This window comes from Homo sapiens, chromosome 16 (genome assembly GCF_000001405.40).
Source record: "Homo sapiens chromosome 16, GRCh38.p14 Primary Assembly".
Lineage (NCBI taxonomy): Eukaryota > Metazoa > Chordata > Mammalia > Primates > Hominidae > Homo > Homo sapiens.
The window spans coordinates 29,380,942-29,407,264 of record NC_000016.10 but is presented as its reverse complement, the minus strand read 5'-3'; the positions used below and the strand labels follow the sequence as shown (position 1 = coordinate 29,407,264).

Here is a 26,323-nt window from a genome sequence, read left to right as displayed (position 1 = left end):
GGGCACGGTGGCTCACACCTGTAATCCCAGCACTTTGGGAGGCCGAGGCGCAGAGATCACGAGATCAGGAGATTGAGACCATCCTGGCTAACACAGTGAAACCCTGTCTCTACTAAAAATACAAAAAATTGGCTGGACGTGGTGGCAGGCACCTGTAGTCCCAGCTACTTGGGAGGCTGAGGCAGGAGAATGGTGTGAACCCGGGAGGCGGAGCTTGCAGTGAGCCGAGATCCCACCACTGCACTCCAGCTTAGGCAACAGAGCCAGACTGTGTCTCAAAAACAGGAAAGAAAACAAAAGAAAATTTGGACTATTGCCAATTACAAATATTTTTAGAGAAGAATTCAAAATAGTAACTGTGGATGATGGAAACAATAGTTATGATAGAAGTCTGATGAAACTTCCCAGTTCACAAGGAAATTTAATTACTTACGTGCAGCATTTTAAGACAGTAATCAGAATCATGACTGGCAGCATCATATCAGGGCCACCAGACTTTTATAAATTTCATACAATCTTCAGAAATAATTAATAACTTTTTTTTTTTTTTTTAGTTAGATTCTACCTCTGTCACCCAGGCGGGAGTGCAGTGGCATGATCTCGGCTCACTGCAACCTCCGCCTCCTGGGTTCAAGCAATTCTCCTGTCTCAGCCTCCCGAGTAGCTGAGACTACAGGCATGTGCCACCAGGCATGGCTAATTTTTGTATTTTTAGTGGAGACAGGGTTTCACTCTATTAGGCTGGTCTGGAACTCCCGACCTCAGGTGATCCACCTGCCTTTGTCTCCCAAAGTGCTGGGATTACAGGCATGAGTGACGGTGCCCAGCCATTCATGACGTGTTTATACAAATATAACTTTAGCAAACATTTAGCATAACTATCAAAATTACAAATCATATTAAATTTGTATAAATGTATGCAATTTTTGGAACACGTATATCAACAACATACCCATAAATATAACTGAGATGAGATCTAATGTCACCTCACTTGACAGTGCCCTCCCATGCAGTATCGCCACATTTGACAATGCCTGCCCATTTAATCTACCAAATAAATCGAATCACTTAATACCTCTACAAGATGAGAGATACATTCTTTAGACTCCCCAAGGGATGCAGCTGAAAAAATCCCAAAGTTAGTTTTAAGCCAAAAAGACTTGATTTAGGATTTTGACACTGGAGAAACCCATCAAAGACGTCAAGTTTGAAAACACTTGATCAAAACAGAATCACAGGTCACTATTAAAAGAGTATTAATTTAACCAGAGACTTCCAAAGCAATACAGAAACTTACATGGATATAAAAACCTTAACCCTTTTAAAGGTCAGATTTGCTAAGTGATCAAAAGGGGTACTTGAATTGAATCGACACAGGAAGAGTGTGTACAGGGTTATGAGTGTAGGCAGATGGTTACTTTGGTCATATCTCCATTTGCCACCTGATTACACATGAGAATGCCATCTTTACTCACCAGAAAGCCAGTATTATAGGAGGTGTAGGAGGCATTCTTGGACTTGAAACAAGAACATTGTTGTGTAGAAATTTCATTGACTGTGTTAAAATTATTCTCCATGGGCTGGAGAACACATAACATGGCCTTTAGAATGAGACGGGCATTGATTGGATGCAAGGTCTCCACACTTACTAGCCGTGTGACATTGGACAGAGTGCTTCATCATTCCGAGACTCAGTTTTTAAAGGAAAAACAACTAACTACCTTGCAAGCTTGCTAGCAGGTTTAAGTGTAATAATGTGTGGGAATGACTGCACCGTGACTAACACGTGGTGACGGCTTAATTAATGTTAACCCTTATCATTATCGTATAAGAATGTGAGTTGCATAAGAGAGGAATCCTGTCAGTTTGTTCTCTGCTGTGTCCCCAAGACCATGAATCATGGCTGGCACGTAGTAGGCTTTTAATAATATTTGTTCAACAAGTATTTGGCAGTCTTGGAGGGCAGAAAAGGAGGTGGGGAAGATTTTTAAATAACATTTTTTAAAAAGTCACATTGTCCTACAATATCGATTTTTCTTGCATATTTAGGAAATTGAGGGTTTTTTCCTAAAACATGCGGACATATGGGAAATATGATGCAACATTTGCACTAATGTTTCAGACACAGTTAGAGGTTTCCAAGAGATTTTGTGCTGGGGAGGCTGCTTGCTACAAGCTCCCAAAGCTCTGGGAGGACATAGTATTCATTCCTCCCTCAGCAGAAGCGGTGAGGCAAGAAGCTCTGGGGAGCACCCAGCCTTGGACTTTTAGCATAGTGTGTCAGGTCTTCATAGTTTGGGCCCAGGGCACAGAGAAGTCACAGCTCTCTGGCATCCTGTGACCTTTACCCTCTTTGCCAAGGGAAAATGTGGCCCACCAAAGCAAGAAACTTGAGGGCATGGGTCACCCCAGCCCTGGCATCTGCCCAGAGCCCGAGAAGGAAGGAACAATGATCCTCCAGCTACCTCACAGGGCTGGCACAGGTGACCACTGCCCTGGCATCACCCAGCTGTGTCCGGCAGCCTGAACCCCATCTGTGGGGATGCGAGGAGGAAAATACAAAAGCCCTTAGGTGAGCACTGAGAAGGCAGATGCAGCAGAAACCTCCAGGCCGGAACTACCCAGTCTTGGACCTATGGTGGAGACAGAGCATAGCTGGCGATCATGTGTACTTACACTCTAAGGTCACCTGGTTGCACTGTGGCCTCATCTGTGGCTCTGAAAATGAAGATTTGGAAGGAGATCATCACAGCTAATGTTTAACAAGCCCCTCCTGTGTGCCAAATCATTCACCCCTCACCACAACCGAATGAGCTAAGGATTCTCATTATATATAGTTTATGGAGAGGGAAGTGCAGACATAAAGAGGTGAATTATCTTACCCAGATCACACAGCTGATAAGTGGTGGAGGCAGAATAGAATCTAAACAGTGTGGCTCCGGAGCCCACATGCATTGATTCGACAAGTGTTTATTGAGCACCTGCCACGGACAAGGCCTTGTGTGATTAAATAGGGTTATAATTAGTAATATAAAAATGAGAAATCACTAATGCTTTTTAGACTTAACATTTTCTTTTTTTGTAGGTTTCAGGCACAGAACTGTATATCCAATAATAGTGAAATGGATCCCACTAATTATGACAGAAATGATGATACATTTAAATGACTTGGATGTTTTATAGGTATGATCTCGTGAAACCTTGAGAGAAACTGAATGACGAATGAAACTATTGTTCCTGTTTCACACAGAAGAAAACTGAGGTTAAAAGGGGTAAAGTAATTTTGCATGGCATGAAGTAGAAATTCAAAGTACAGGAATTTGAACTTGGTTCTGTCCTTTTCTGAAGCCCTTGACCACTATAGACTCAAACATCACCTTGTTTTTCCACTCATTCAACACTTTTTTTTTAAATTATCTAATAGGTTGGCACTCATCATGAGCCCCTGTTCTCATTCTGCAAATGGTGAAGCTCTCTATTGTCCTGACCCCACAGTTCCTGTCCCATGACCAGGGCCAGCTCACCAAGGAGCTGCAGCAGCACGTAAAGTCAGTGACATGCCCATGCGAGTACCTGAGGAAGGTGAGTGAGTGCAGACAGATGGGGCCTGGTGCCCTTGAGCAGTTCCCGGGTCTCAGCTGCCACACATCTCATAGCGGGTGATGCTGGGGGAAGCTTACGCAGTCACAGTACTGGCTTCTTCCTCTTTTTCTTTCCATACAAGTGGCTTAGGGATGGGGTAGAGTAGTTGACTTATTTGGATGAAAACCACTATCTTCTGTCAGAAACTCAAAAGGAATCATTGCTGGCATGGTAACCTAAAGAAAAACAACCAGACAAGTGCCCAACGACACTTAAAAAGGTTATTTATTATCTTGCCAAGTTTAGGCTGGGCATGGTGACTCATGCCTGTAATCCCAGCATTTTGGGAGGCTGAGGCTGGTGGATCACCTGAGGCCAGGACTTCAAGACCAGCCTGACCAATATGGCAAAACCTCGTCCCTACTAAAAATACAAAAATTAGCCGGGCATGGTGGTGTGAGCCTGTAGTCCCAGCTACTCAGGAGGCTGAGACAGGAGAATTGCTTAGATTCAGGAGGTGGAGGTTTTAGTGGGCCGAGATCACGCCATTGCACTCCAGACTGTGCGACAGAGCGAGACTCTGTCAAAAAAAAAAAAAAAAAATTATCCTGCAAAATTTGAAAAGGAAATTCAAATCAACAGCTTCTAAACTACTTTTTAACATGACTCATAATAAATACATTCTATAGTACATATATATGTTCTATAATTTTGAATAAAAGAATTAACCACATCACATTTATTTTACAACATGTAATACATATTTTTTATTCTCCTTCATTTGTTTTGAATGCTCTGTTTAGTCTACAAAAAGTCCAATAGTAATAATTAAATTAGTCATTAAGTTGAACATTATCTTGTCTTTTAAAATGATAATCTCAAAAATGATCTTTTATTTTTGAGATTTATATAGAGATACACACACACACACACACACACACACACACACACACACACAGAGAGAGAGAGAGAGAGAGAGAGAGACAGAGTTTCACTCTGTCGCCCAGGCTGGAGTGCAGTGGCACAATCTTGGCTCACTGCAACCTCCGTCTCCCGGGTTCAAGCAATTCCTCTGCCTCAGCCTCTGAGTAGCTGGGACTACAGGTGTGTGCACCATCATGCCCAGCTAATTTTTGTATTCTTAGTAGAGATGGGGTTTCACCATATTGGCCAGGCTCGTGTCAACTCCTGACCTCGTAATCTGCCCACCGTGGCCTCCCAAAGTGCTGGGACTATAGGTGTGAGCCACTGCACCCGGTCCAAGATAAAATTATTTTAACAATATACTATGAAGAGAAAAACACTGGCTATGAAAGAATATGCATAGTTTTACCCTGTTTAAAAATAAAGATTGAAAGAATACATATGCAAATAAGTTTACTTTTATTTTTGGTAATACTTTACTGGATTGTCTGAATATTGACAATCAGTATGCATTATGAAGCTACATGGCTAACATTGAGTACTCACTGTGTGTGCCAGGCCCTGGGTTCAATGCTCTACATGCACTTATATTTCATTTAATTCTCTCTGCAACCTGAGATGGTATAGCCACCTCATTTTACAGAGTTGAAACTGAGGCCCAGAGACTGAAAGTTAAGCCTGAGGTTACAGTCAATAAGAGGCAGAGCTGGAACTGAAACCTACGTGTGTCTGACCACCAGTTCATGTTCTGACGGCAGGCTAGTCTGCATCACAGAGTGTGGGGTAGATGGTGCATGCCTGCTAGGATGGGCTAGGTATCACTGTAGGTAAGAAACAGCCCCAAACGGTGGAAATGTACACCACTGAAGGCTCTTTTCTTGCCCATGCTGCACATCCTCCATGGCTCTCCTGTGCCCTGTGCCCCACATGCCCTCATCCTGCCACGAGAATAAAGGAGCAGCCTCCATATGGGAGCTGTCAGCTGCTCTAAGAGATGAAGGAGAGGGTGGCCAGTCTCAATGGCTCCCAACTCTTGCCTCGAGGTGACACACTTCACTTCCACTCACATCTCTTGGGTCAAAGCAAATCCCATGGGTACATCCACTTTCAAGTGGCCCAGGAGAGAACCTGAAATACTCGGTGGACTCCATTAAGGCTGTCATATGGTGTCAGCCTACATGGGAGACTGTGGAGGGGCAGAGGAGGAGAGTGGGGAACTGATGGGAAATGACAGGAGGACTAAGTCACCGCAGATTTGCTTTATCCTCAGCCAGGTGGAGTTTGTCCCAGAGCTGCACAAAATCATCACCAGCATGATGAAACAGAGTAGACTTCAGAAAAAGCAGTTTGGTCAGATGTAATCAGCAGTGAACTCAGAATCAACTGAGTGACATTGAGTCAGTAAATCTCTGACTGCCTCAGTTACCCCAGATGATAGTTTTGAGGATGGGAACATTGAGAGAGTTGATCTGGAAGGATATCAAGAGTAAAAATTCCAACATTTTAGTTCCTTTAAGTTAAATCCAGGCACTATTTTTCCTGCAAGTCTCCTGTTCCTTTCAGATTGCACAGGTTCAAGAGTGCTCAGATTAGGGCTGGAGGTTGTAAACTATTGCTCCCACACTGACAGTGCCCCCGTGTCGTGCATGTATTGTGCTAAACACTCTCCCAAAACATCGTGGGGCCTGATTCTTCCTCTTTGTTCCAATGGCCCTGGGTGACTCAAGTGCCCATTCAATGACCAGGACACAGAGGTCTTAGAGAGATGCTCCATGAGGCCCCAGGTGCGAGCCTGTACCCTGCCGGAGCATGAGGCAAGGGACAGGGAATCGTCTGTGGGGATAGTGGGGGTAGTGGGGGTAGTGGTCAGCCAGACTTGGTGACTCTACTTGCTCACCAGATGATCCTACACCTGCCACCTCCGATGGAACCACTGCCTCTGTGCCTGCCTGTACTGCTGATGCTCCAGTGGATAACTCAGCATCCCAGCCTAGGCCCAATGCCACTGAAGATGGACCTGCCCCCTGGGGACCCAGGAGTCCTACCACTCAGCTGTCCCCAGGAGTGCCCAGACCCTCATTCTTATCCAGGACCTAGGAGCCCTACCCCTGGCCTTCCCTCATCAGCCGTAAATGATGATTTACTGCTGTTACCATCATCACTGCCTTCAGTGACCAAGGGCCTTCCAAGGTGCCAGCTCTGGAACGAAAGATGCCCTTGGGAGGTGATGACACTCAGGTACACGGGTGCTCAACAGATTGCTTCCTCCTATCCTCAGACGGTCTTTGCATGCATGCAGCCATTGGCACTCCCATTGTATGGAAGGAAACCAGCCCAGGGTCACACAGCTGGTCAGCAGCAACATAGCTGGTCTCAAATCTAAGGTGCCTGGCCATGCCTCCATGAGGGACCCCCTGCAAGGGAGGTTGATCCTGGCTTTGGGGAGCCTTTCCTGGGCTGCACGAATAACCTCCATTGTTCGAGACCCCAAACTCTGCTCACATCTTCCTTTCCCTGTCTCTGCTTGGGCTATGATCACGGTGACTCTAGCAACCCTTCATGGACATTATAGTACTCTCTGCCATTCACTTTTGGTCTAATCTGACTTCAACCCCCACTTACTTGGTCTCTCCTTTTACAACCAACACAACCGAAATCCGAGGGCTTCTTTTTTTTTGAGACAGAGTCTCATTCCATTCTGTCACCCAGGCTGGAGTGGAATGGCACGATCTCGGCTCACTGCAACCTCCACCTCCTGGGTTCAAGGGATTGTCCTGCCTCAGTCTCCTGAGTAGCTGGGATTACAGGCGGGTGCCACCGTGCCTGGCTAATTTTTGTATTTTTAGTAGAGACGGGGTTTCACCATGTTGGTCAGGCTGGTCTCGAACTCCTAACCTCGTGATGCGCCTGCCTCAGCCTCCCAAAGTGCTGGGATTACAGGCGTGAGCCACCATGCCCAGCCAAATCTAGGGCTGGAACATGGCTGCAGCATATAAATAGAATTGAATTCCATAGTTTTGTTAACCCTGTTTTTTGTTTGTTTGTAGTTGTTGCTGTTTTTGAGACAGAGTCTCGCTCTGTCTCCTAGGCTGGAGTGCAGTGGTGCAATCTCGGCTCACTGCAGACTCTGCCTCCTGGGTTCAAACTATTCTCCTGCCTCAGCCTCCCAAGTAGGTGGGACTAAGGCGCCCACCACCACACCCGGCTAATTTTTGTATTTTATTAGAGACAGGGTTTCACCATATTGGCCAGGCTGGTCTGGAACTCCTGACCTTGTGATCCACCCACCTCGGCCTCCCAAAGTGCTGGGATTACAGGCGTGAGCCACCACACCCAGCCCCTGTTTTGTTTTTGTTTTGCTTGTTTCTTAGGGTTGTTTTTCTATTTATGGTAAAGGCATTGGCTTTCCATTTGTAGCATCAATAGAATATTTCCTGTTTACAATAACCTTATGTCATAGTAAATGGTAAAGGGATTTAAAGCAGTGGTTTTCAGCTGCCAGAGGCCTGAGTGAGTTTGGGCACACTCTGTGTGATCGGGCAGAAGCCCTGTGGGAAGTTTAACTGAGGACAGGGCCAGGAAAGGTGATGGACAGTGGGGGTCTGTCCTGGTCACCAGACCCCTGGGTCCTGCCCACCTGCTTGGAGCTCCCCACCCATCACACATGATGCTGCCAAGCCCTCTGGGTATTGTGGGCAAATACCTTAGGAGAGAAGCTGATGAACTTTGTTTCTTGAAATGCACAGATTCCTTGGACATCCCTGAGAGGTCAATCATGAAGGTCAACTTGGTTTTCTCCCCCTCATTTGGGTTCAGAATTTAAAGTCCACACACACAGGCAGTAAGATGATTATAGATAAGGACATCATCACTCGGTTTCGGATGTTAAAATGTCTAGGTGGGTTAGGGGGGATTTGAGATCACACAACCTTGTGCCACAAAGAGGAATTCCCAGGCCAGAGGGAGACATTTTATTGCCATGTTATGATCTTATCATTGAGTTGAAAGGCAATCTTGTTTCATTTTGGATTCTTTCTTATGTTTATGTCTTATAAGGGCACTTTGAATTTCCAAGCAAATAATAATTTTGAATTAGCTTTTAATCATTGACTTCTAGCACAGTTACATGATCAGAAACATGCTGTGTGATTTGATTGCTCTCAAATATATTGAGATTTGCTGGAACAAAATAAGTCAGGTTAATTTTTGTAAATGTACCATGCATGCTTAAAATGAATGTATCTACATTTGTTCCTGAGATACAGGTTGATGGACGGATGGCTACATGGATGTGATGGAGATGGTTTACTATCGGGACCTTCCGCACCCTGCTGATGTTTTGTTGCTTAGGATATGAATGGCTGAGCGGAGGCTGTAAAACCTGGCACTCTGCTTGGGTATGAGGTTCTTCCTGCCATCCTGCCATCATTTGTTTTTTATGTTTTGTCGCCAAAAGTGACCTTGAGGAACCCTGGGAGCTCAGGAAGGAAGGAGCGCCCAGAAGCAGGGACAGGGAGCTGGTTGGGGAGGACCAGAAATCAGGTTTGTGAAGGTTCCAGAGAGGACCTGTCCTTGCGAGGAGTGTGGGAGACTGAGATGGGGGAGGGGTCATTGGAATGATGCGGGCGCTACTTGGCATTGTCCATTGTGAGGCACCACCGGGGTCATCAGGGATTGGTGGAGAGGGAGTATAAAGCCCCAGGTTTGCTAAGGGAGGGCCCAGACCGAAGAAGGTTTGGCGGATAGCAGAACCTTTTTGTCTCCCTCTAATTGCTCCTAAGCCTCACGCTCCCTTGCCCCGCGTGTCCTGTTGCTTCCCTGATCTTCTCCGTGACCTGTAGCTAAACCTTCCACCAGCGCTTGAGAACTTAATTTGAACCGGATCCTTTCCCAGACCCCTTTCTTCTTCTCCTCCTCCAGGTGCCCAACAGCCCCCTTCTCCTCCTTTCCCTTCCCTTACTTCCCCCCTTCCCCTCCCCTTCCCTTCCCCCTCCCCCTCCCCTCCCCCTCCCCAACTCAGATCCGGGCCCGGTCCCCGTCCCCTTCCCTCCCCCCTGCCCTAAGCCACCTCCACCTCTGTCCTGGACGCCTCAGGGCGCCCTGAAAGGACCAGGACATGCGGGGGCGGTGGATGCTCTTTTGGCTCCTCTTTGGGCTCCTGCTGGAATTTATCAGCCATCAGTGCATCCGTGTGAGTAGACGCTGGACCCTCGGGGTTTCTTCCTTTTTACTGGGCTGTGTCACGCGGCATGAAATTACACAGCTCAGGCCTGTAATCCCAGCACTTTAGGGGGCCGAGGTGGGCAGATCACTTGAGTCCAGGCGTTGAAGACTAGCCAGGGCATCATGGCGAAACCCCATCTCTACAAAAAATTCCAAAAAAGATTAGTCGGGCCTGGTGGTGCGTACCTGTTATCCCAGTTACTGGAGAGGCTGAGGTGGGAGGATCGCTTGGGCCCAGGAGCTGGACGTTGCAGTGAGCCGAGATGGCCCCGCTGCACTCTTGTCTCTAACAAACAAAGTGGACCAAAACAAAGTGAAATGTCATTTGATTTGTGTCATCTGGTTTGATGACTTTTTTTTTTTTTTAGACAGAGTCTCACTCTGTCGCCCAGGCTGGAGTGCAGTGGCAAGATCTCGGCTCACTGCAACCTCCGCTTCCGGGGTTCAAGCAATTGTCCTGCCTCAGCCTCCTGAGTAGCTCAGATTACAACGCCTGGCTAATTTTTGTATTTTTAGTAGACCACCACGCCTGGCTAATTTTTGTGTTTTTAGTAGAGACGGGGTTTCACCATGTTCGCCAGGATAGTCTCCATCTCTTGACCTCGTGATCCGCCTGCCTCAGCCTCCCAGTGCTGGGATTACAGGCGTGAGCCACCGCGCCTGGCCAAAATATATAACCTTAAGTGTAAGTTTACTAACTTTGGAAAGTACATACACCAGCATAAACCGACCCCCTTTCAAGATCTACATTATTTTATTTATTTATTTATTTTTTTGAGACAGTTTCTCCCTTGTTGCCCAGGCTGGAGTGCAATGGGGCAATATCAGCTCACCGCAACCTCTGCTTCCCAGGTTTGAGCGATTCTCCTGCCTCAGCCTCCCGGGTGGCTGGGATTACAGACATGTGCCACCACTCCCAGCTAATTTTGTATTTTTAGTAGAGATAGGGTTTCTCCATGTTGGTCAGGCTGGTTTTGAACTCCTGACCTCAGGTGATCCGCCCGCCTCGGCCTCCCAAAGCGTTGGGATTACAGGCGTGAACCACCGTGCCCAGCCAAGATCTACACTATTATGTCACCCCAGAAAGTGAACTCTCAGTCTTCCCAGCCAGTCTCTTTCTTATCATAGGTTAGCTTGCTTATTCTGGAATTTCGCGTATACAGATGCATGCCATGCCATAGGTACTCTTTTGTGTCTGCTTTGTTCTGCTCAACACCATGTTTCTGAAATCATTACCATTGTTGTATGGTTCTCTAACTTCATCATTTCCATTTCAGACTCAGCATATGCTGAGTTCCACCTGTTGAAGGGCTATCTCTGTTTAATTCACCATCTTGAAAGAAACATTTAAAATTGAGATGTTTTCAAGAATATATAGTTAAATCCTGAGGAATCGACGTAGAAATGTTATCACAAGCTGTCTGAACTTACTCAGGGGAAGTCTTCGTCTTCACTCACATAAGAGTCTAATGGAATTAATATCAACAATCTTAGAGAAATCCCACACTATTCATGCCATTTTCATGATCTCCACCTTGGTAATTTTTTTTTTTTTTTTGAGACAGAGTCTCGCTCTGTCACCCAGGCTGAAGTGCAGTGGTGCAATCTCGGCTCACTGCAACCTCTGCCTCCCGGGTTCAAGTGATTCTTCTGCCTCAGCCTCCCAAGTAGCTGGAACTATAGGCGCGTGCCACCATGCCCTGCTAATTTTTTGTATTTTTAGTAGAGATGGGTTTCACCGTGTTAGCTAGGATGGTCTCAATCTCCTGATCTCGTGGTCCACCCACCTCGGCTTCCCAAAGTGCTGGGATTGCAGGCGTGAGCCACCACGCCCGGCCCACCTTGTTAATTTTTAAGCACTAAAATTTGATACTTATTTGTGAATGAAGTAATCTCTTCATTGTATTTTTTTTTTTTTTTACTTATGCTGAGCTTTAAATGACAAAGATTCATATAATCCAAGAGAGAAGTATTATTTAGAGGGATTCTTTTACCATGTGATATATAATAAATGCATCCAATGTTATACATCAATTTAAAAAACAAGTAAATAACTTTAAAGAAAAGATAACTACTGGCCAGGTGCAGTGGCTCACACCTGTATTCCCAGCACTTTGGGAGGCCGAGGCAGGTGGATCAAGAGGTCACGAGTTGGAGACCAGCCTGGCCAAGATGGTGAAACCCTGTTTCTACTCAAAATACAAAAATTAGCCGAGTGCGGTGGCAGGCGCCTGTAATCCCAGTTACTCAGTAGCTGAGGCAGGAGAATCGCTTGAACCCGGGAGGCGGAGGTTGCAGTGAGCTGAGATCATGCCACTGCAATCTAGCCTGGGTGACAGAGCAAGACTTTGTCTCCAAACAAAAAGAAAAGATAATTACTTTATACTTAGCTTGTCTTAGCCATGAGTGACGGGCTGCATGTGGCCCAGGACAGTTTTGAATGCAGTTCAACACAAATTTGTAAACTTTCTTAAAACATTAGGAGATTTTGGCCAGGTACAGTGGCTCATGCCTGTAATCCCAGCACTTTGGGAGGCTGAGGCGGGCAGATTACCTGAGGTCAGGAGTTCGAGACCACCCTGACCAACATGGCAAAACCCCATCTCCACAAAAAATACAAAAATTTGCTGAGTGCACTGTCAGGCACCTGTACTCCCAGCTACTCAGGAGGCTGAGGCAGGAGAATCACTTGAACCTGAGAGGCAGAGGTTGCAGTGAGCCGAGAGCACACCACTGCACTCCAGCCTGGGTGACAGAGTGAGACCCCATCTCAAAAAAACAAACAAAAACAAAAACAAAAAAATGGCTGGGCACGGTGGCTCACACCTGTAATCCCAGCACTTTGGGAGGCTGAGGCAGGCAGATCGCCTGTCAGGAGTTCAAGGCCAGACTGGCCAACATGGTGAAACCTCATCTCTACTAAAAATACAAAAATGAGTCGGGCATGGTGGCAGAGACCTGTAATCTCAGCTACTCGGGAGGCTGAGGCAGGAGAATGGCTTGAGCCCAGGAGCTGGAGGTTGTAGTGAGCCAAGATTGCACCACTTCACTCCAGCCTGGGCGACTGAGTGGAGCGGAACTCTGTCTCAAAAAAAAAAAAAAAAAAGAGGTTTTTTTTTAGATCATCAGCTATTGTTAGTGTTTGTGTATGTTATGTGTGGCTCAAGACAACTTTGCTTCTTTTAATATAGGCAGGGAAGTCAAAAGATTGGATATCCCTGCTTTATACCAAGAAAGACAACACCCCACATTTGCAGTGCCTGAAAACACTACCAGCCATCTGAAAAACATGTGACTTCTAACTTCTGTTCTTTTTTGTAGCAGTGGAATCCCACGGTGATATCTGAGGGATGTGGTTACCTTTTGGAGGAGGTTGACGGTTTCTAAGGATGATTCTTTCTGAGTGAAATATTGTCAGTGTCATTGACCTTTTCATTATTTCAACTATTATTATTCCAGGTTATCAATACTCTGGCTGACCATCATCATCGTGGGACTGACTTTGGTGGAAGTCCTTGGTTACATATTATTATTGCGTTTCCGACAAGTTATAAAGTTGTCATTACCCTCTGGATAGTTTACCTTTGGGTGAGTATACTAACTTTCTGTAGAGGTATACTTGTAATCACAAATAAGAATAAATTATATAAAACAATTCACATTTCTGGACTTCATTATGAATATGTGGTTTTACCCAAAAAATCAGGGAAATGATTTATTAGCATAAGAATTATGAAAATATCTGCCATTTGCGTTATGAAAATTAAATAGGTCACTGTTTGTTTAATAGAATGTCAACAGAGCTTTTGGTCAAAAATAAGTTTTTTTAACCTTTGTGCTATTTATCACAAATGGAGTATGAGGTTTCGTCACTTAAATAGGAAATTCTTTCTAAACTCTTCTGCTTTATAGTTCTATCGTATGGGTGGAAGGAAAGCTTCCAATCTCCTCTCTGAAGATTCACTGCAGAAATGAGCTGACAACAGACAGCTTAACAGGAAAAGAAAAACATAGAACAGGCATAAACATGGGAACCAGCTGAAAAATGAGACTGCTAGAACTGCCGGGTGGTTGATGCTTAAAGAGCACCCTCTTCTGAGGGGAGAGGGAGATAGATGGAGATGTAGGCCATTTAGAGGGGCAGCAAATGATTTTTAGGGGAAATGAAAGAGGCCAAGGAACAAACAATTGGCCTGAGACAAAGTTCCTCTGAGGTCATAGGGACGAGGTGACAAACTGCCGGAAGGTGAAGGGCAGAACTGCTCTGCGTCTCATGATGCAGAGAAAGCCCCAGAGACTCTTAGAACTGCCCTCCAAGAGAATCAATGAAAAGTGTGTCTGGGCAGGGTAATTTTGAATGACATCATTCAAAGTGCATGTTCCGACTTGGAACTGGAGAGAGATCAGTATGTCAAAAGTCTGTACTTGGTAAGAATTTGGCTGCTAAGTTGTACCATAATTTGTCTTTTGAGCCTTTTTTCCTTTGGGTAAGTTGAGCTCTACATTTTGTCTTGCCATTCATGACAGTAAAAATGTGGTTGTCTGGGGGCTGAACCTCCTTCTGAACAATGATCCAAGATAAAAGTACTAATACCACAATGCTTTTTTATATTCAAGGGAAGAGGAAGTATGTTTCAGTTTTACCACCTAGATAATTACACGTCATTTGGCACTGCCTTTCAAGATATGTAGAAAACAGAAAATATATGAGTTATGAAGATATCTAGGCACATTTAACATTCTCTATGCCACTTAGTCCTGAACAGAGAATTTTCGGTATAAATTGGAGGAAGCTTTTTTCTTTTTTTTTTTTCTTTTCTCACCCCGAAGACGAGTCTCCTTCTGTTGCCCAGGCTGGAGTATAATGGTGTGACCTCGGCTCACTGCAACCTCCACCTCCTGGCTTCAAGCGATTCCCCTGCCTCAGCCTCTCAAGTAGCTGGGATTACAGGTGCCCACCACCATGCCCAGCAAATTTTTGTATTTTTAGTAGAGTCGGGGTTTTACCATGTTGGCCAGGCTAGTCTCAAAACCCGACCTCAAATGATCCACCCGCCTCAGCCTCCCAAAGTGCTGGGATTACAAGCGTGAGCCACCACGTGAGCCAGGGGAAGTTTTTAAATTTACCACTTTTTAACAATTCCACTTAGGAAAGTTCAGTTGAGCTGTTGGACTTGGACAACTTCGCACCTCTCATCTTTGTCCTTGTCATCTAGTCATCTATACCATTACCTCCTAAGCAGGGACATCATGGGTGCCATGAAGCATTCATGCATGATGGCATTTCCTTGCTTGTCATTTCTTCATGTGTTTGACATTTCTCCTAGCTCCAAACTGGGCCAGCTACCTTTCCTATGAAATCTAGCAGTAGCTGTGGGATTGACGTGGTTGCTCTTTTCATCTTTTTAGATTACCCATTGCTTCTCTCGAAATCCTAGTACATGATTTTTTTTTTATCCTATGTGCAGAAATCAGGAAAAAACAAATTCTACAAAGAATTTGAAAGATTATTTCAGGCCAGGTGTGGTGGCTCATGCCTGTAATCCCAGCACTTTGGGAGGCTGAGGCAGGTGGATGACTTGAGGTCAGGAGTTCAAGACCAGATGGGCCAACATGGTGAAACCCCATCTCTACTAAAAAGACAAAAATTAGCCAGGCATGGTAGCAGGCACCTGTAATCCCAGCTACTTGGGAGGCCGAGGCACAAGAATCGCTTGAATCTGGGAGGTGGAGGCTGCCGTGAGCCAAGGTAGCGCCACTGCACTTCAGCATGGTTGAGAGTGACACTCCATCTCAAGAAAAAAGTCATTTCAATGACTACCTCAGGAGATTCATAGGTATCTGACCGACATCTGAGATGGGATTTGCATTGCATTTTCGCTATGATGAGAAGAAATATTTAATGTCTTAGAAGATTAAAAGCATACTGTGATAATATGGAAATCTTGGTGGGAATTCAGTCATTAGTGAGAATGTTTTGCGTTAAGTTCAAACCAGCCTCAATGAAGCTGATGTGAGGGAAGGGAAAGTGAACTCTGAGTAGAGCAGGGACAGAAGGAAGATGCTCCAGTGCAGATCAGGAAGGAGCAGGGGGTGAAATGTTACAAATTCTAGAACTCAGAGAGCTGAAGGTAATTACTTCCTTTTCAAGTTGTGAAACATGTTAACCTGTGGTAAAATACTTATAAGATGATAATTACCATCTAACCGTGTTGAAGTGTACAGTTCAGTTGTGTGAAGTATATTCATGTCATTTTTTTTTTTTTTTTTGAGACGGAGTCTCACTCTGTCACCAGGCTGGAGTGCAGTGGTGGGATCTTGGCTCACTGCAACCTCTGCCTCCTGGGTTCAAGCAGTTCTCCTGCCTCAGCCTCCCGAGTAGCTGGGACTACAGGCGTGCATCACCATGCTCAGCTAATTTTTGTATTTTTAGTAGAGACGGGGTTTCACCATGTTGCCCAGGATGGTCTCCATCTCTTGACCTTGTGATTCACCCGCGTCGGCCTCCCAAAGTGTTGGGATTACAGGCATGAGCTACCGCAGGTGGCCTATTTTTTTTTTTTTTTTTTTTTTTGAGACAGTTTCAATTTTGTTGCCCAGGTTGGAGTGCAATGGCACAATCTCAGCTCACCACAACCTTTTCCTGCTGGGTTCAAGTGATTATCCTGCCTCAACCTCCCGACTAGCTGGGATTACAGGCATGCACCACCATGCCTGGCTAATTTTGTATTTTTAGCAGAGACAGTGTTTCTCCATGTTGGTGAGGCTGGTCTCAAACTCCCGACCTCAGGTGATCCGCCTGCCTCAGCCTCCCAAAGTGCTGGGATTACAGGAGTGAGCCACTGTGCCAGCCTCATGTCATTCTTGTGTGTGTGTGTGTGTATGTGACAGAGTCTCATTCTGTCGCTCAGGCTGGAGTGCAGTGGTGTGATCTCGGCTCACTGCAACCTCCGCCTCCCAGCTTCAAACGGTTCTCTGCCTCAGCCTCCCGAGTAGCTTGGATTACAGGCGCCCGCTGCCATGCCCGGCTAATTTTTGTATTTTTAGTAGAGATGGGGTTTCACCATCTTGGCCAGGCTGGTCTTGCTCCTGACCCCGTGATCCACCTGCCTCAGCTTCCCGAAGTACTGGGATTATACGCATGAGCCACCGTGCCCAGCCGTCATTCTTATATTATTATTTCCTAGGTGTCTCTCCTGAAGACTATCTTCTGGTCTCGAAATGGACATGATGGATCCACGGATGTACAGCAGAGAGCCTGGAGGTCCAACCGCCGTAGACAGGAAGGTATGGCTCTGTTGGAATCCGCATAGTGTGGAAATGAGTTTGCCCTGGAAAGGGAAAGAACAGCTTCTTGCCCTCAGGTTTCTCACCTTCTCCTCTCCTCACTCTCACCAAGGGCTGAGGTCCATTTGTATGCACACAAAGAAAAGAGTTTCTTCCTTTCGAGGAAATAAAATTGGCCTGAAAGACGTCATTACTCTACGGAGGCATGTGGAAACAAAAGTTAGAGCTAAAATCCGTAAGAGGAAGGTGACAACGAAAATCAACCGTCATGACAAAATCAATGGAAAGAGGAAGACCGCCAGAAAACAGTAAGATGTGCCTTGACACAAATACTGTTGTAGGAACCATGTGCCAATCAAAGTAGACAACTGTAAAGTCCTTGAGAATATTTTCTACAATATTTGTGGCAAATTCAGTAGGTTCAAAATTGAGTTTGTCCTTTCTGCTTCATTAGTTTAAGCTGTATAATTCCTTTCCCTTCCTACATTCTTGTTTGTAATTTTTTCGGGGGAAGAGGAGTTGCTAGTACTGGCATTGGTTTTCCTTTCTCTTTTTTTTTTTTTTTTTTTTTTTTTTTTTTCCTGAGATGGAGCTTTGCTGTTGTTGCCCAGGCTGTAGTGCAATGGCACAATCTCAGCTCACTGCCTTTTGGGTTCAAGCAATTCTCCTGCCTCAGCCTCCCAAGTAGCTGGGATTACAGGTGCCCACCATCACGCCCAGCTAATTTTTGTATTTTTACTAGAGATGGGGTTTCACCATGTTGTCCAGGCTGGTCTCGAACTTCTGACCTCAGGTAATCCACCTGCCTCAGCCTCCCAAAGTGCTGGGATTAGAGGCGTGAGCCACCACAGCCAGCCTTTTTTTTTTTTTTTTTTTTTTTTAATTTTGAGATAGAGTCACGCTCTGTCGCCCAGGCTGGAGTGCTATGGTGCAGTCTTGGCTCACTGCAACCTCTGCCTCCCAGTTTGAAGCAATTCTGCCTCAGCCTCCCGAGTAGCTTGGATTACAGCTGTGTGCCACCACATTTGACCAATTTTTTTTTTTTTTTTTTTTTGAGACAGAGTCTCACTCTGTCACCCAGGCTAGAGTGCAGTGGCATGATCTTGGCTCACTGCAACCTCCACCTCCCAGGTTCAAGCGATTCTTATCTCTCAGCCTCTTGAGTAGCTGGGACTACAGACATATGCCACCATGCCCGGATAATTTTTGTATTTTTAGTAGAGGCGGGGTTTCACCATATTGGCCAAGCTGGTCTAGAACTCCTGACATCATGATCCGCACACCTCGGCCTCCCAATGTGCTGGGATTACAGGCGTGAGCCACCGTGCCCGGCCCAATTTTTGTATTTTTAGTAGAGACGGGTTCACCATGTTGGCCAGGCTAGTCTTGAACTCCTGACCTCAGGTGATCTGCCTACCTCAGCCTCCCAGTGTGAGCCACCGCACCCAGCCTGGATTGTTGAATTCAATGCTTGGGTCACCTCCAGATTCATTTTCACAGTCTTTCATGTTTTGGTCATATGACATTGTATTTTGCTGCCATATGACTGATCTTTTTTTGTTAAATGTGAGATACTTGTTAAAAAATGTTTAGCAATGAATTGAGGCCTAGTAGCATGTTATCTTGCTGCAGAAGAGATGGGAGTCTACTTCTGGGGGATGGTCAGGGGTCCTCCATACAGGCTGCAATTGAGGTCGTCGGTGCAGGCTCAGTCCCTACAAAGGCCAGGGTATTTCCTGTCCACCTTTATTCTGATGCATGACTCTTCTGGGTCTCAACCAGAGCCAGTGGACTTCAGTATGGGTCGCTTTCATTGGCAGACCCTCAATCCACTTGTTTTCCATCTAATCCCACGCATGTGTGCAAAAGCTGCTGTGCTTCTTTGCATCTCAGTAGTTCCTTCTGGAATTCAGCAATGAAACTCAGGGAAATGGGTTCCAAATGCGAGGCTGACTTTCGTCCTGGGTTTCCTTCTTCTCCATCTTCACCTCATGTCTGTTTACTGCCATGTTAGCAATTTGATGTATTCAATCATGGGTTTTATATTCTGTTTGGTGTCCCCCATTGTTCTCATCGGAGATCAGAAGCTTCAGATGCACTTATGTCAACTCAAGAGTAGAATGCTTCCTTAGCTTCCCTCCAGAGTCAGGTTTTGTGTTTCTAGTTCCCAAGTGCACAGCAGGAGTAGTGATGTCCTCACTGGCTTCTCATTTGCATTAAGCTGTGAGCTTCTTTAGCGTGGGGACAGGACCCTGCTCCCATTGCATTCTCAGCACCACACCACACACTCCTTGTTTGAGGCCACTCCAGACAGCATGTGCTGAAGGATGCCTTGTGGTCAGAAACAAGTTCATTAACTTTCTCTTTGAAGTGTTTTCGCCCCTGTTTCCTAGCGTTCTGGGAATTTTACACATCCTTCCTATAAAACCAAGTATCAGGTGAGATCCTTAGGATCAGGACCATGAATCAAGTGGTGTGAGGGCAACACAGCAAACTTACCCTTTTTAGGCCGTTTCCTTTTTCTGCCCTCAATCTCTGTGAACTGAACCTTGTTAAAGTCAGTCAACACCAGGGTGGATGGTTTGCCGTTGTCACCTATTTTCAGGACATAACACCCTGACTTAGGAGCCATTCCGATCATTTCTAATTCAATAGATGCGCCCAGCATTCAGATTGCCTTTTCTCTCAACCAGGATCTTTAAAGTCGATGACAAGAGTTCCAGTCCTGAATCATGGCAAAGTGCAGTAGTGAACTGCGGGGTTATTCTGGAAGGATCTCTCTATGGCTGATGGTCTCAGTTCTGGCATCAGCCTCTGACTGAGAATCAGGTCTCACACAGGAGGAGTCAGATGAGGAGCAATCCTCTGCTTCCGATGGAGTTAGTTGTGATGAATTGGTGAGGTCTGGTTTTTCACACTGAACTAAAATGAGCTTTCGCTGTGTCAAGCACAAGACTGACCCCAGAGACACACATAGTGCACCTCATAGAAGCTTTTAATAGTCTTTATATTTACTAAAGAATAGGACTAACTATGGAACTATGAAGATGAGCTGGAAATGACAGGTGACTTGCCAGCAGGCCAGAGTGTGACTTTTTTTTGTCCCTCAATGGGAGGTGTCAATTCTCCCTTCGGTTGTGAGAATCAGTTGGTTCATTTGTGGGAAGGTTGCAGGGGGGATCTTTGAATCACAGCCTTCAGATGCCAGAAGGGCAGAGGGAATCCCACACGGGCTGGTGGATCATGTGTGTGCATTTCTCTCCCTTCTAATCTGAGGAAACTAAGCGTGAAAGAATGTGAGCATGCAGAAAAGGAGAGGCAGGTATCAGAGGCAGAGGAAAATGGGAAATTGGATATGAAAGAAATACACACCTACAAGTGAGTTCAGAAACTGAACCCCACCCTCCTGGGAAACGCCCATTGGAGTGTTGTTTTTAACCTTTGTACAGTATTTAGACCCAGTAAATGCAGAAATAGAAACAAACGGTCAGAAGACATATCGTGAGAGAGAGCGAGAGAGAGTTCACAAAACAGAAAACAAAGTACCTTAATATTTACCAGTGACCAAAAGATGTGAAGTAGCAAAACGTCTCCTGACCCCATTGCCAGCTAGACTATGTGGAAACTCGGTTCATACCAGCCATTCTAGGGGTGGGGTGAGTTGTTGTCATCCTTAGGAAAGTGTGTTGTTGTAGGATCAACCACATCCTTCAAAAGGACTATGCCTGTTTATAAGCCCAGCTGTTTCTGCCCTGTGAAACACGGTAAGGATATTAATACAAAGAGAATACAGCTTTATGATAAAAGATGCTCAATGAAGGATGAATTAGGGATGTACTGAGAATGGGGAAGGAAACTATCATCTCAGAAGTCAGCAGGCAGTAAGCAAGAGGAGGAATCAATACAGCAACAGTTTGGATCAGACTGTACAGTTTTTTTGTTTTTGTTTTTGTTTTTCTGAGATGGAGTCTCGCTGTGTCACCCAGGCTGGAGTGCAATGACGTGATCTTGGCTCACTGCAACCTCCGCCTCCCAGGTTCAAGTGATTCCCCTGCCTCAGCCTCCCGAGTAGCTGGGATTACAGGTGCCTGCCACCACGCCTGGCTAATTTTTTGTATTTTTAGTAGAGAAGGGGTTTCACCATATTAGCCACAATGGTCTCAATCTCCTGACCTCGTGATCCATCTGCCCCGCCCTCCCAGAGTGCTGGGATTACAGGCGTCAGCCACCGTGACCGGCTCAGACTGTACTCTTATAGCCATCTGAAATACGTTTTCTAGGTAGAGATAGATTGTGTAAGGGTACAGTTGTGAGGATAACAGAAACATGGCAGATTATTTAAAATCATCCTGAAAGTGGTGCTTTATCTGATGAAAGTGATTGTAATCCATAGGAAAATGTTTCAACGTGCGCAAGAGTTGCGGCGGCGGGCAGAGGACTACCACAAATGCAAAGTAAGGAGCTTCCTCCCTGCAGTTGCAGGATAGTTCAGTGCTGATGCAGATGATGCCACGGCCCTTAGACTCTCTCAACATTCAATTTCTCATGTGTTGGCTTTTTCAGATCCCCCCTTCTGCAAGAAAGGCTCTTTGCAACTGGGTAAGTTTGCTTGTTTTCCTTGCTTTTGGACATAGTCTGCCAGGTCAGGACATGGATACATTTTTCTCCCTACAGCTCTGTGCTCAAGCCCTGCAGAGGGAGATGGCAGAGAGAAAGGCTGCCTACAAGCATCACAGTCCCATCCCTGTTGGTAACCGTGTTGCGCAAAAACACCTTCATCCCCACCCAGTGGGGCCCCTGATCTAATATTCTAAGTGTCAGAGGTTCCGTATTTGTAATAGCAGATGGGCCCTGACTGTAAACTAGTGAAGAGTGAATGTAACTTATTACCCACAGGGACAATTCCAAATGAAGGCCTTAAATGATGCTCAGCTAAGCTGGTTCTTGTGTGGCCTCTGTACCTTCAAAAGCTGCCGAGTCCTATGATTACACGTGATGGGACTTGTACACTTGAAGTGAAACACAGTTTTAAAACTTGCTTTGTTTAGAATTCCCACCTCATTTTTCCATGGACAAAAGTATTCTTTATGTCCTAGTGCACTTACAATTTGGTATTACCTGGGAGTGAAAAGAAATATTACAGCCATGCCTAAGTGACTTCTTGAGGTGAGATTGTTCTGTCAGAAAACCCTCTCCCAGTTCCCCTGCAGCTCTTCAGGAATCCACATCTCTCCAGAGCTCTTTGTTCTCATGGGTGGCACCTCCAGAGTGAAGAAGATCCTTTGTCAAGAAGGGAAACAGAGGGGAAATGAGAGGGTCCTGCAGGCAGAGCTGGAATCAACTTCCACTCTGCCTCTTGCAAGCTGTGTGACCCTGGGCACAATTTCTCCTTCCTCTGGAAACCTCTGTTTTCTTAGATTTGGAGCAGGGTGGTCACACTGACCTTGCAGAGTTCTGAGAATCAGAGACAGAACATAAAAGGCCTGGAAAACATTCTCCAAAAAGAAGCTGCAACATGTGTGGACAGTGGGCTTTTCATGCCTCTCTTACTGTCTCTTACTGTCTGTTGACCTGGTGCAAGAAACATGCTCTGGTGATGGCTGTGAGGGAGGAATGAGGATAGACATAGACACTCCTGTGTCTCAAACATGCTTCTTTATTACTCTGTTATGACTCTGTCTTCCCTGGGGCAGGACCCCAGCCTGCCTACATTTGCAGACAGACACAGTGGCATGTGGAGACAACAGTGTGTCCCAATGACTTTCCTTTACCCTCCAGCTGTCGGCAGTACTCAGTGGAAGGGTGATATTATGACACTGATACTGCTATTTTGAAACCTGGAGGATGGAAAGGTGCAAAAATCTATCACCAGCAACAGAAGGTGCAGACTGTGTTGGTGGCGGTAATTTTGTCCATCAAATGAATATGTGTGAAAACATTCCCTCCTTTGGCCCTACAGGTCAGAATGGCGGCAGCGGAGCATCGTCATTCTTCAGGATTGCCCTACTGGCCCTACCTCACAGCTGAAACTTTAAAAAACAGGATGGGCCACCAGCCACCTCCTCCAACTCAACAACATTGTATAACTGATAACTCCCTGAGCCTCAAGACACCTCTCGAGTGTCTGCTCACTCCCCTTCCACCCTCAGCGGATGATAATCTCAAGACACCTCCCGAGTGTCTGCTCACTCCCCTTCCACCCTCAGCGGATGATAATCTCAAGACACCTCCCGAGTGTCTGCTCACTCCCCTTCCACCCTCAGCTCCACCCTCAGCTCCACCCTCAGCGGATGATAATCTCAAGACACGTGCCGAGTGTCTGCTCCATCCCCTTCCACCCTCAGCGGATGATAATCTCAAGACACCTTCCGAGCGTCAGCTCACTCCCCTTCCACCCTCAGCTCCACCCTCAGCAGATGATAATATCAAGACAACTGCCGAGCGTCTGCGGGGGCCGCTTCCACCCTCAGCGGATGATAATCTCAAGACACCTTCTGAGCGTCAGCTCACTCCCCTTCCACCCTCAGCTCCACCCTCAGCAGATGATAATATCAAGACACCTGCCGAGCATCTGCGGGGGCCGCTTCCACCCTCAGCGGATGATAATCTCAAGACACCTTCTGAGCGTCAGCTCACTCCCCTTCCACCCTCAGCTCCACCCTCAGCAGATGATAATATCAAGACACCTGCCGAGCGTCTGCGGGGGCCGCTTCCACCCTCAGCCGATGATAATCTCAAGACACCTTCTGAGCGTCAGCTCACTCCCCTTCCACCCTCAGCTCCACCCTCAGCAGATGATAATATCAAGACACCTGCCGAGCATCTGCGGGGGCCGCTTCCACCCTCAGCGGATGATAATCTCAAGACACCTTCTGAGCGTCAGCTCACTCCCCTTCCACCCTCAGCTCCACCCTCAGCAGATGATAATATCAAGACAACTGCCGAGCATCTGCGGGGGCCGCTTCCACCCTCAGCGGATGATAATCTCAAGACACCTTCCGAGCGTCAGCTCACTCCCCTTCCACCCTCAGCTCCACCCTCAGCAGATGATAATATCAAGACACCTGCCGAGCATCTGCAGTTCCGCTTCCACCCTCAGCGGATGATAATCTCAAGAGACCTTCCGAGCGTCAGCTCACTCCCCTTCCACCCTCAGCTCCACCCTCAGCAGATGATAATATCAAGATACCTGCTGAGCATCTGCGGGTTCCGCTTCCACCGTCAGCGGATGATAATCTCAAGACACCTTCCGAGCGTCAGCTCACTCCCCTTCCACCCTCAGCTCCACCCTCAGCAGATGATAATATCAAGACACCTGCCGAGCGTCTGCGGGGGCCGCTTCCACCCTCAGCCGATGATAATCTCAAGACACCTTCCGAGCGTCAGCTCACTCCCCTTCCACCCTCAGCTCCACCCTCAGCAGATGATAATATCAAGACACCTGCCGAGCGTCTGCGGGGGCCGCTTCCACCCTCAGCCGATGATAATCTCAAGACACCTTCCGAGCGTCAGCTCACTCCCCTTCCACCCTCAGCTCCACCCTCAGCAGATGATAATATCAAGACACCTGCCGAGCGTCTGCGGGGGCCGCTTCCACCCTCAGCCGATGATAATCTCAAGACACCTTCCGAGCGTCAGCTCACTCCCCTTCCACCCTCAGCTCCACCCTCAGCAGATGATAATATCAAGACACCTGCCGAGCGTCTGCGGGGGCCGCTTCCACCCTCAGCCGATGATAATCTCAAGACACCTTCCGAGCGTCAGCTCACTCCCCTTCCACCCTCAGCTCCACCCTCAGCAGATGATAATATCAAGACACCTGCCGAGCGTCTGCGGGGGCCGCTTCCACCCTCAGCCGATGATAATCTCAAGACACCTTCCGAGCGTCAGCTCACTCCCCTTCCACCCTCAGCTCCACCCTCAGCAGATGATAATATCAAGACACCTGCCGAGCGTCTGCGGGGAGCGTCTGTGGGTTCCGCTTCCACCCTCAGCGGATGATAATCTCAAGACACCTTCCAAACGTCAGCTCACTCCCCTTCCACCCTCAGCTCCACCCTCAGCAGATGATAATATCAAGACACCTGCCGAGCGTCTGCGGGGGCCGCTTCCACCCTCAGCCGATGATAATCTCAAGACACCTTCCAAACGTCAGCTCACTCCCCTTCCACCCTCAGCTCCACCCTCAGCAGATGATAATATCAAGACACCTGCCGAGCGTCTGCGGGGGCCGCTTCCACCCTCAGCCGATGATAATCTCAAGACACCTTCCGAGCGTCAGCTCACTCCCCTTCCACCCTCAGCTCCACCCTCAGCAGATGATAATATCAAGACACCTGCCGAGCGTCTGCGGGGGCCGCTTCCACCCTCAGCGGATGATAATCTCAAGACACCTTCCGAGCGTCAGCTCACTCCCCTTCCACCCTCAGCTCCAACCTCAGCAGATGATAATATCAAGACACCTGCCGAGCGTCTGCGGGGGCCGCTTCCACCCTCAGCCGATGATAATCTCAAGACACCTCCCTTAGCTACTCAGGAGGCTGAGGCAGAAAAACCACGCAAACCCAAGAGGCAGAGGGCGGCTGAGATGGAACCACCTCCCGAACCCAAGAGGCGGAGGGTCGGTGACGTGGAACCGTCACGCAAACCCAAGAGGCGGAGGGCCGCTGACGTGGAACCATCATCACCCGAACCCAAGAGGCGGAGGGTCGGTGATGTGGAACCGTCACGCAAACCCAAGAGGCGGAGGGCCGCTGACGTGGAACCATCATCACCCGAACCCAAGAGGCGGAGGTTGAGCTGAGAAGAGGCCAGTGCACTCAAGCCTGAGCAATAAGAATAAAACCGAGTAGAACAAAATAAAAAATTCAAAAAACAAAACAAAACCCACACTCCAAAAACTAACAAAGAATAAATAAATAATATAAAAATAAAATAAATACTGCAGTCCTTATGTTATTGCTTTGTTTCGATATCTGGTATGATTGCCTGAGGGACCTGAGGTTTTTAATCATAGGGGTTTTTTTTTAATCTTTAGAAGTGGTTGGTTATGTAAAATATTATTATTATTTTTTTTGAGACTGGATTTTGCTGTGTCACCCAGGCTGGAGTGCAGTGGCTCGATCACAGCTCACTGCAGCCTCAACCTCCTGGGCTTCAAGCAATCCTCCTGCCTCAGCCTCCCAAGTAGCTGGGATCACAGATGTGTGCCACCACGCCTGGCCAATGTTAAAAAATCCTTTAACTTTTTTGTAGAGATGCACTCCTGGACTCAAGCGATCCTCCTACTTGTCCCGACCACCAGCCC

General features: G+C 46.8%; 1 protein-coding gene across 4 annotated transcripts, besides 2 other annotated features; it reads left to right on the top strand.

Moving 5' to 3' along the window:
- The first annotated feature begins 553 nt into the window (after nucleotides 1–553).
- NPIPB11 (nuclear pore complex interacting protein family member B11) lies at nucleotides 554–26,098 on the top strand. Of its 4 annotated transcripts, none has more exons than XM_047434577.1 (9): nucleotides 3,463–3,582; nucleotides 13,189–13,317; nucleotides 16,917–17,016; nucleotides 17,129–17,324; nucleotides 21,410–21,470; nucleotides 21,580–21,615; nucleotides 22,976–23,418; nucleotides 23,785–24,726; nucleotides 25,105–26,096. In XM_047434577.1, the coding sequence occupies exons 1-9, from the start codon at nucleotides 3,463–3,465 to the stop codon at nucleotides 25,817–25,819; spliced, it is 2,742 nt and encodes a 913-aa protein (XP_047290533.1). In that variant the 3' UTR covers nucleotides 25,820–26,096. The 4 variants fall into 4 exon arrangements, with proteins under 4 accessions (NP_001297066.2, XP_047290533.1, XP_047290532.1 ...); XM_047434578.1 differs by lacking the exon at nucleotides 3,463–3,582 and adding an exon at nucleotides 8,414–8,903; NM_001310137.5 differs by adding an exon at nucleotides 554–3,262 and having other exon boundaries at nucleotides 3,425–3,582; nucleotides 22,976–25,955.
- Nucleotides 24,092–24,711: an enhancer, noted in NCBI's record as "H3K4me1 hESC enhancer chr16:29393875-29394494 (GRCh37/hg19 assembly coordinates)". NCBI's record gives its function as "activates a minimal SCP1, AML or CMV promoter by ChIP-STARR-seq in primed H9 embryonic stem cells {active_cell/tissue: H9 hESC(primed)}" and the evidence as "EXISTENCE:reporter gene assay evidence [ECO:0000049][PMID:30033119]".
- Nucleotides 24,712–25,333: an enhancer, noted in NCBI's record as "H3K4me1 hESC enhancer chr16:29393253-29393874 (GRCh37/hg19 assembly coordinates)". NCBI's record gives its function as "activates a minimal SCP1, AML or CMV promoter by ChIP-STARR-seq in primed H9 embryonic stem cells {active_cell/tissue: H9 hESC(primed)}" and the evidence as "EXISTENCE:reporter gene assay evidence [ECO:0000049][PMID:30033119]".
- Nucleotides 26,099–26,323: the final 225 nt, after the last annotated feature.

Excerpts from the sequence above, each read along its gene's own strand:
- NPIPB11 (NM_001310137.5), top strand. The coding sequence starts at position 3,463 with ATGGTGAAGCTCTCTATTGTCCTGACCCCACAGTTCCTGTCCCATGAC. Across the intron at positions 17,017-17,128 it reads CAACCGCCGTAGACAGGAAG|GGCTGAGGTCCATTTGTATG; the intron begins GTATGGCTCTGT and ends ACTCTCACCAAG. Across the intron at positions 17,325-21,409 it reads AGGAAGACCGCCAGAAAACA|GAAAATGTTTCAACGTGCGC; the intron begins GTAAGATGTGCC and ends TGTAATCCATAG.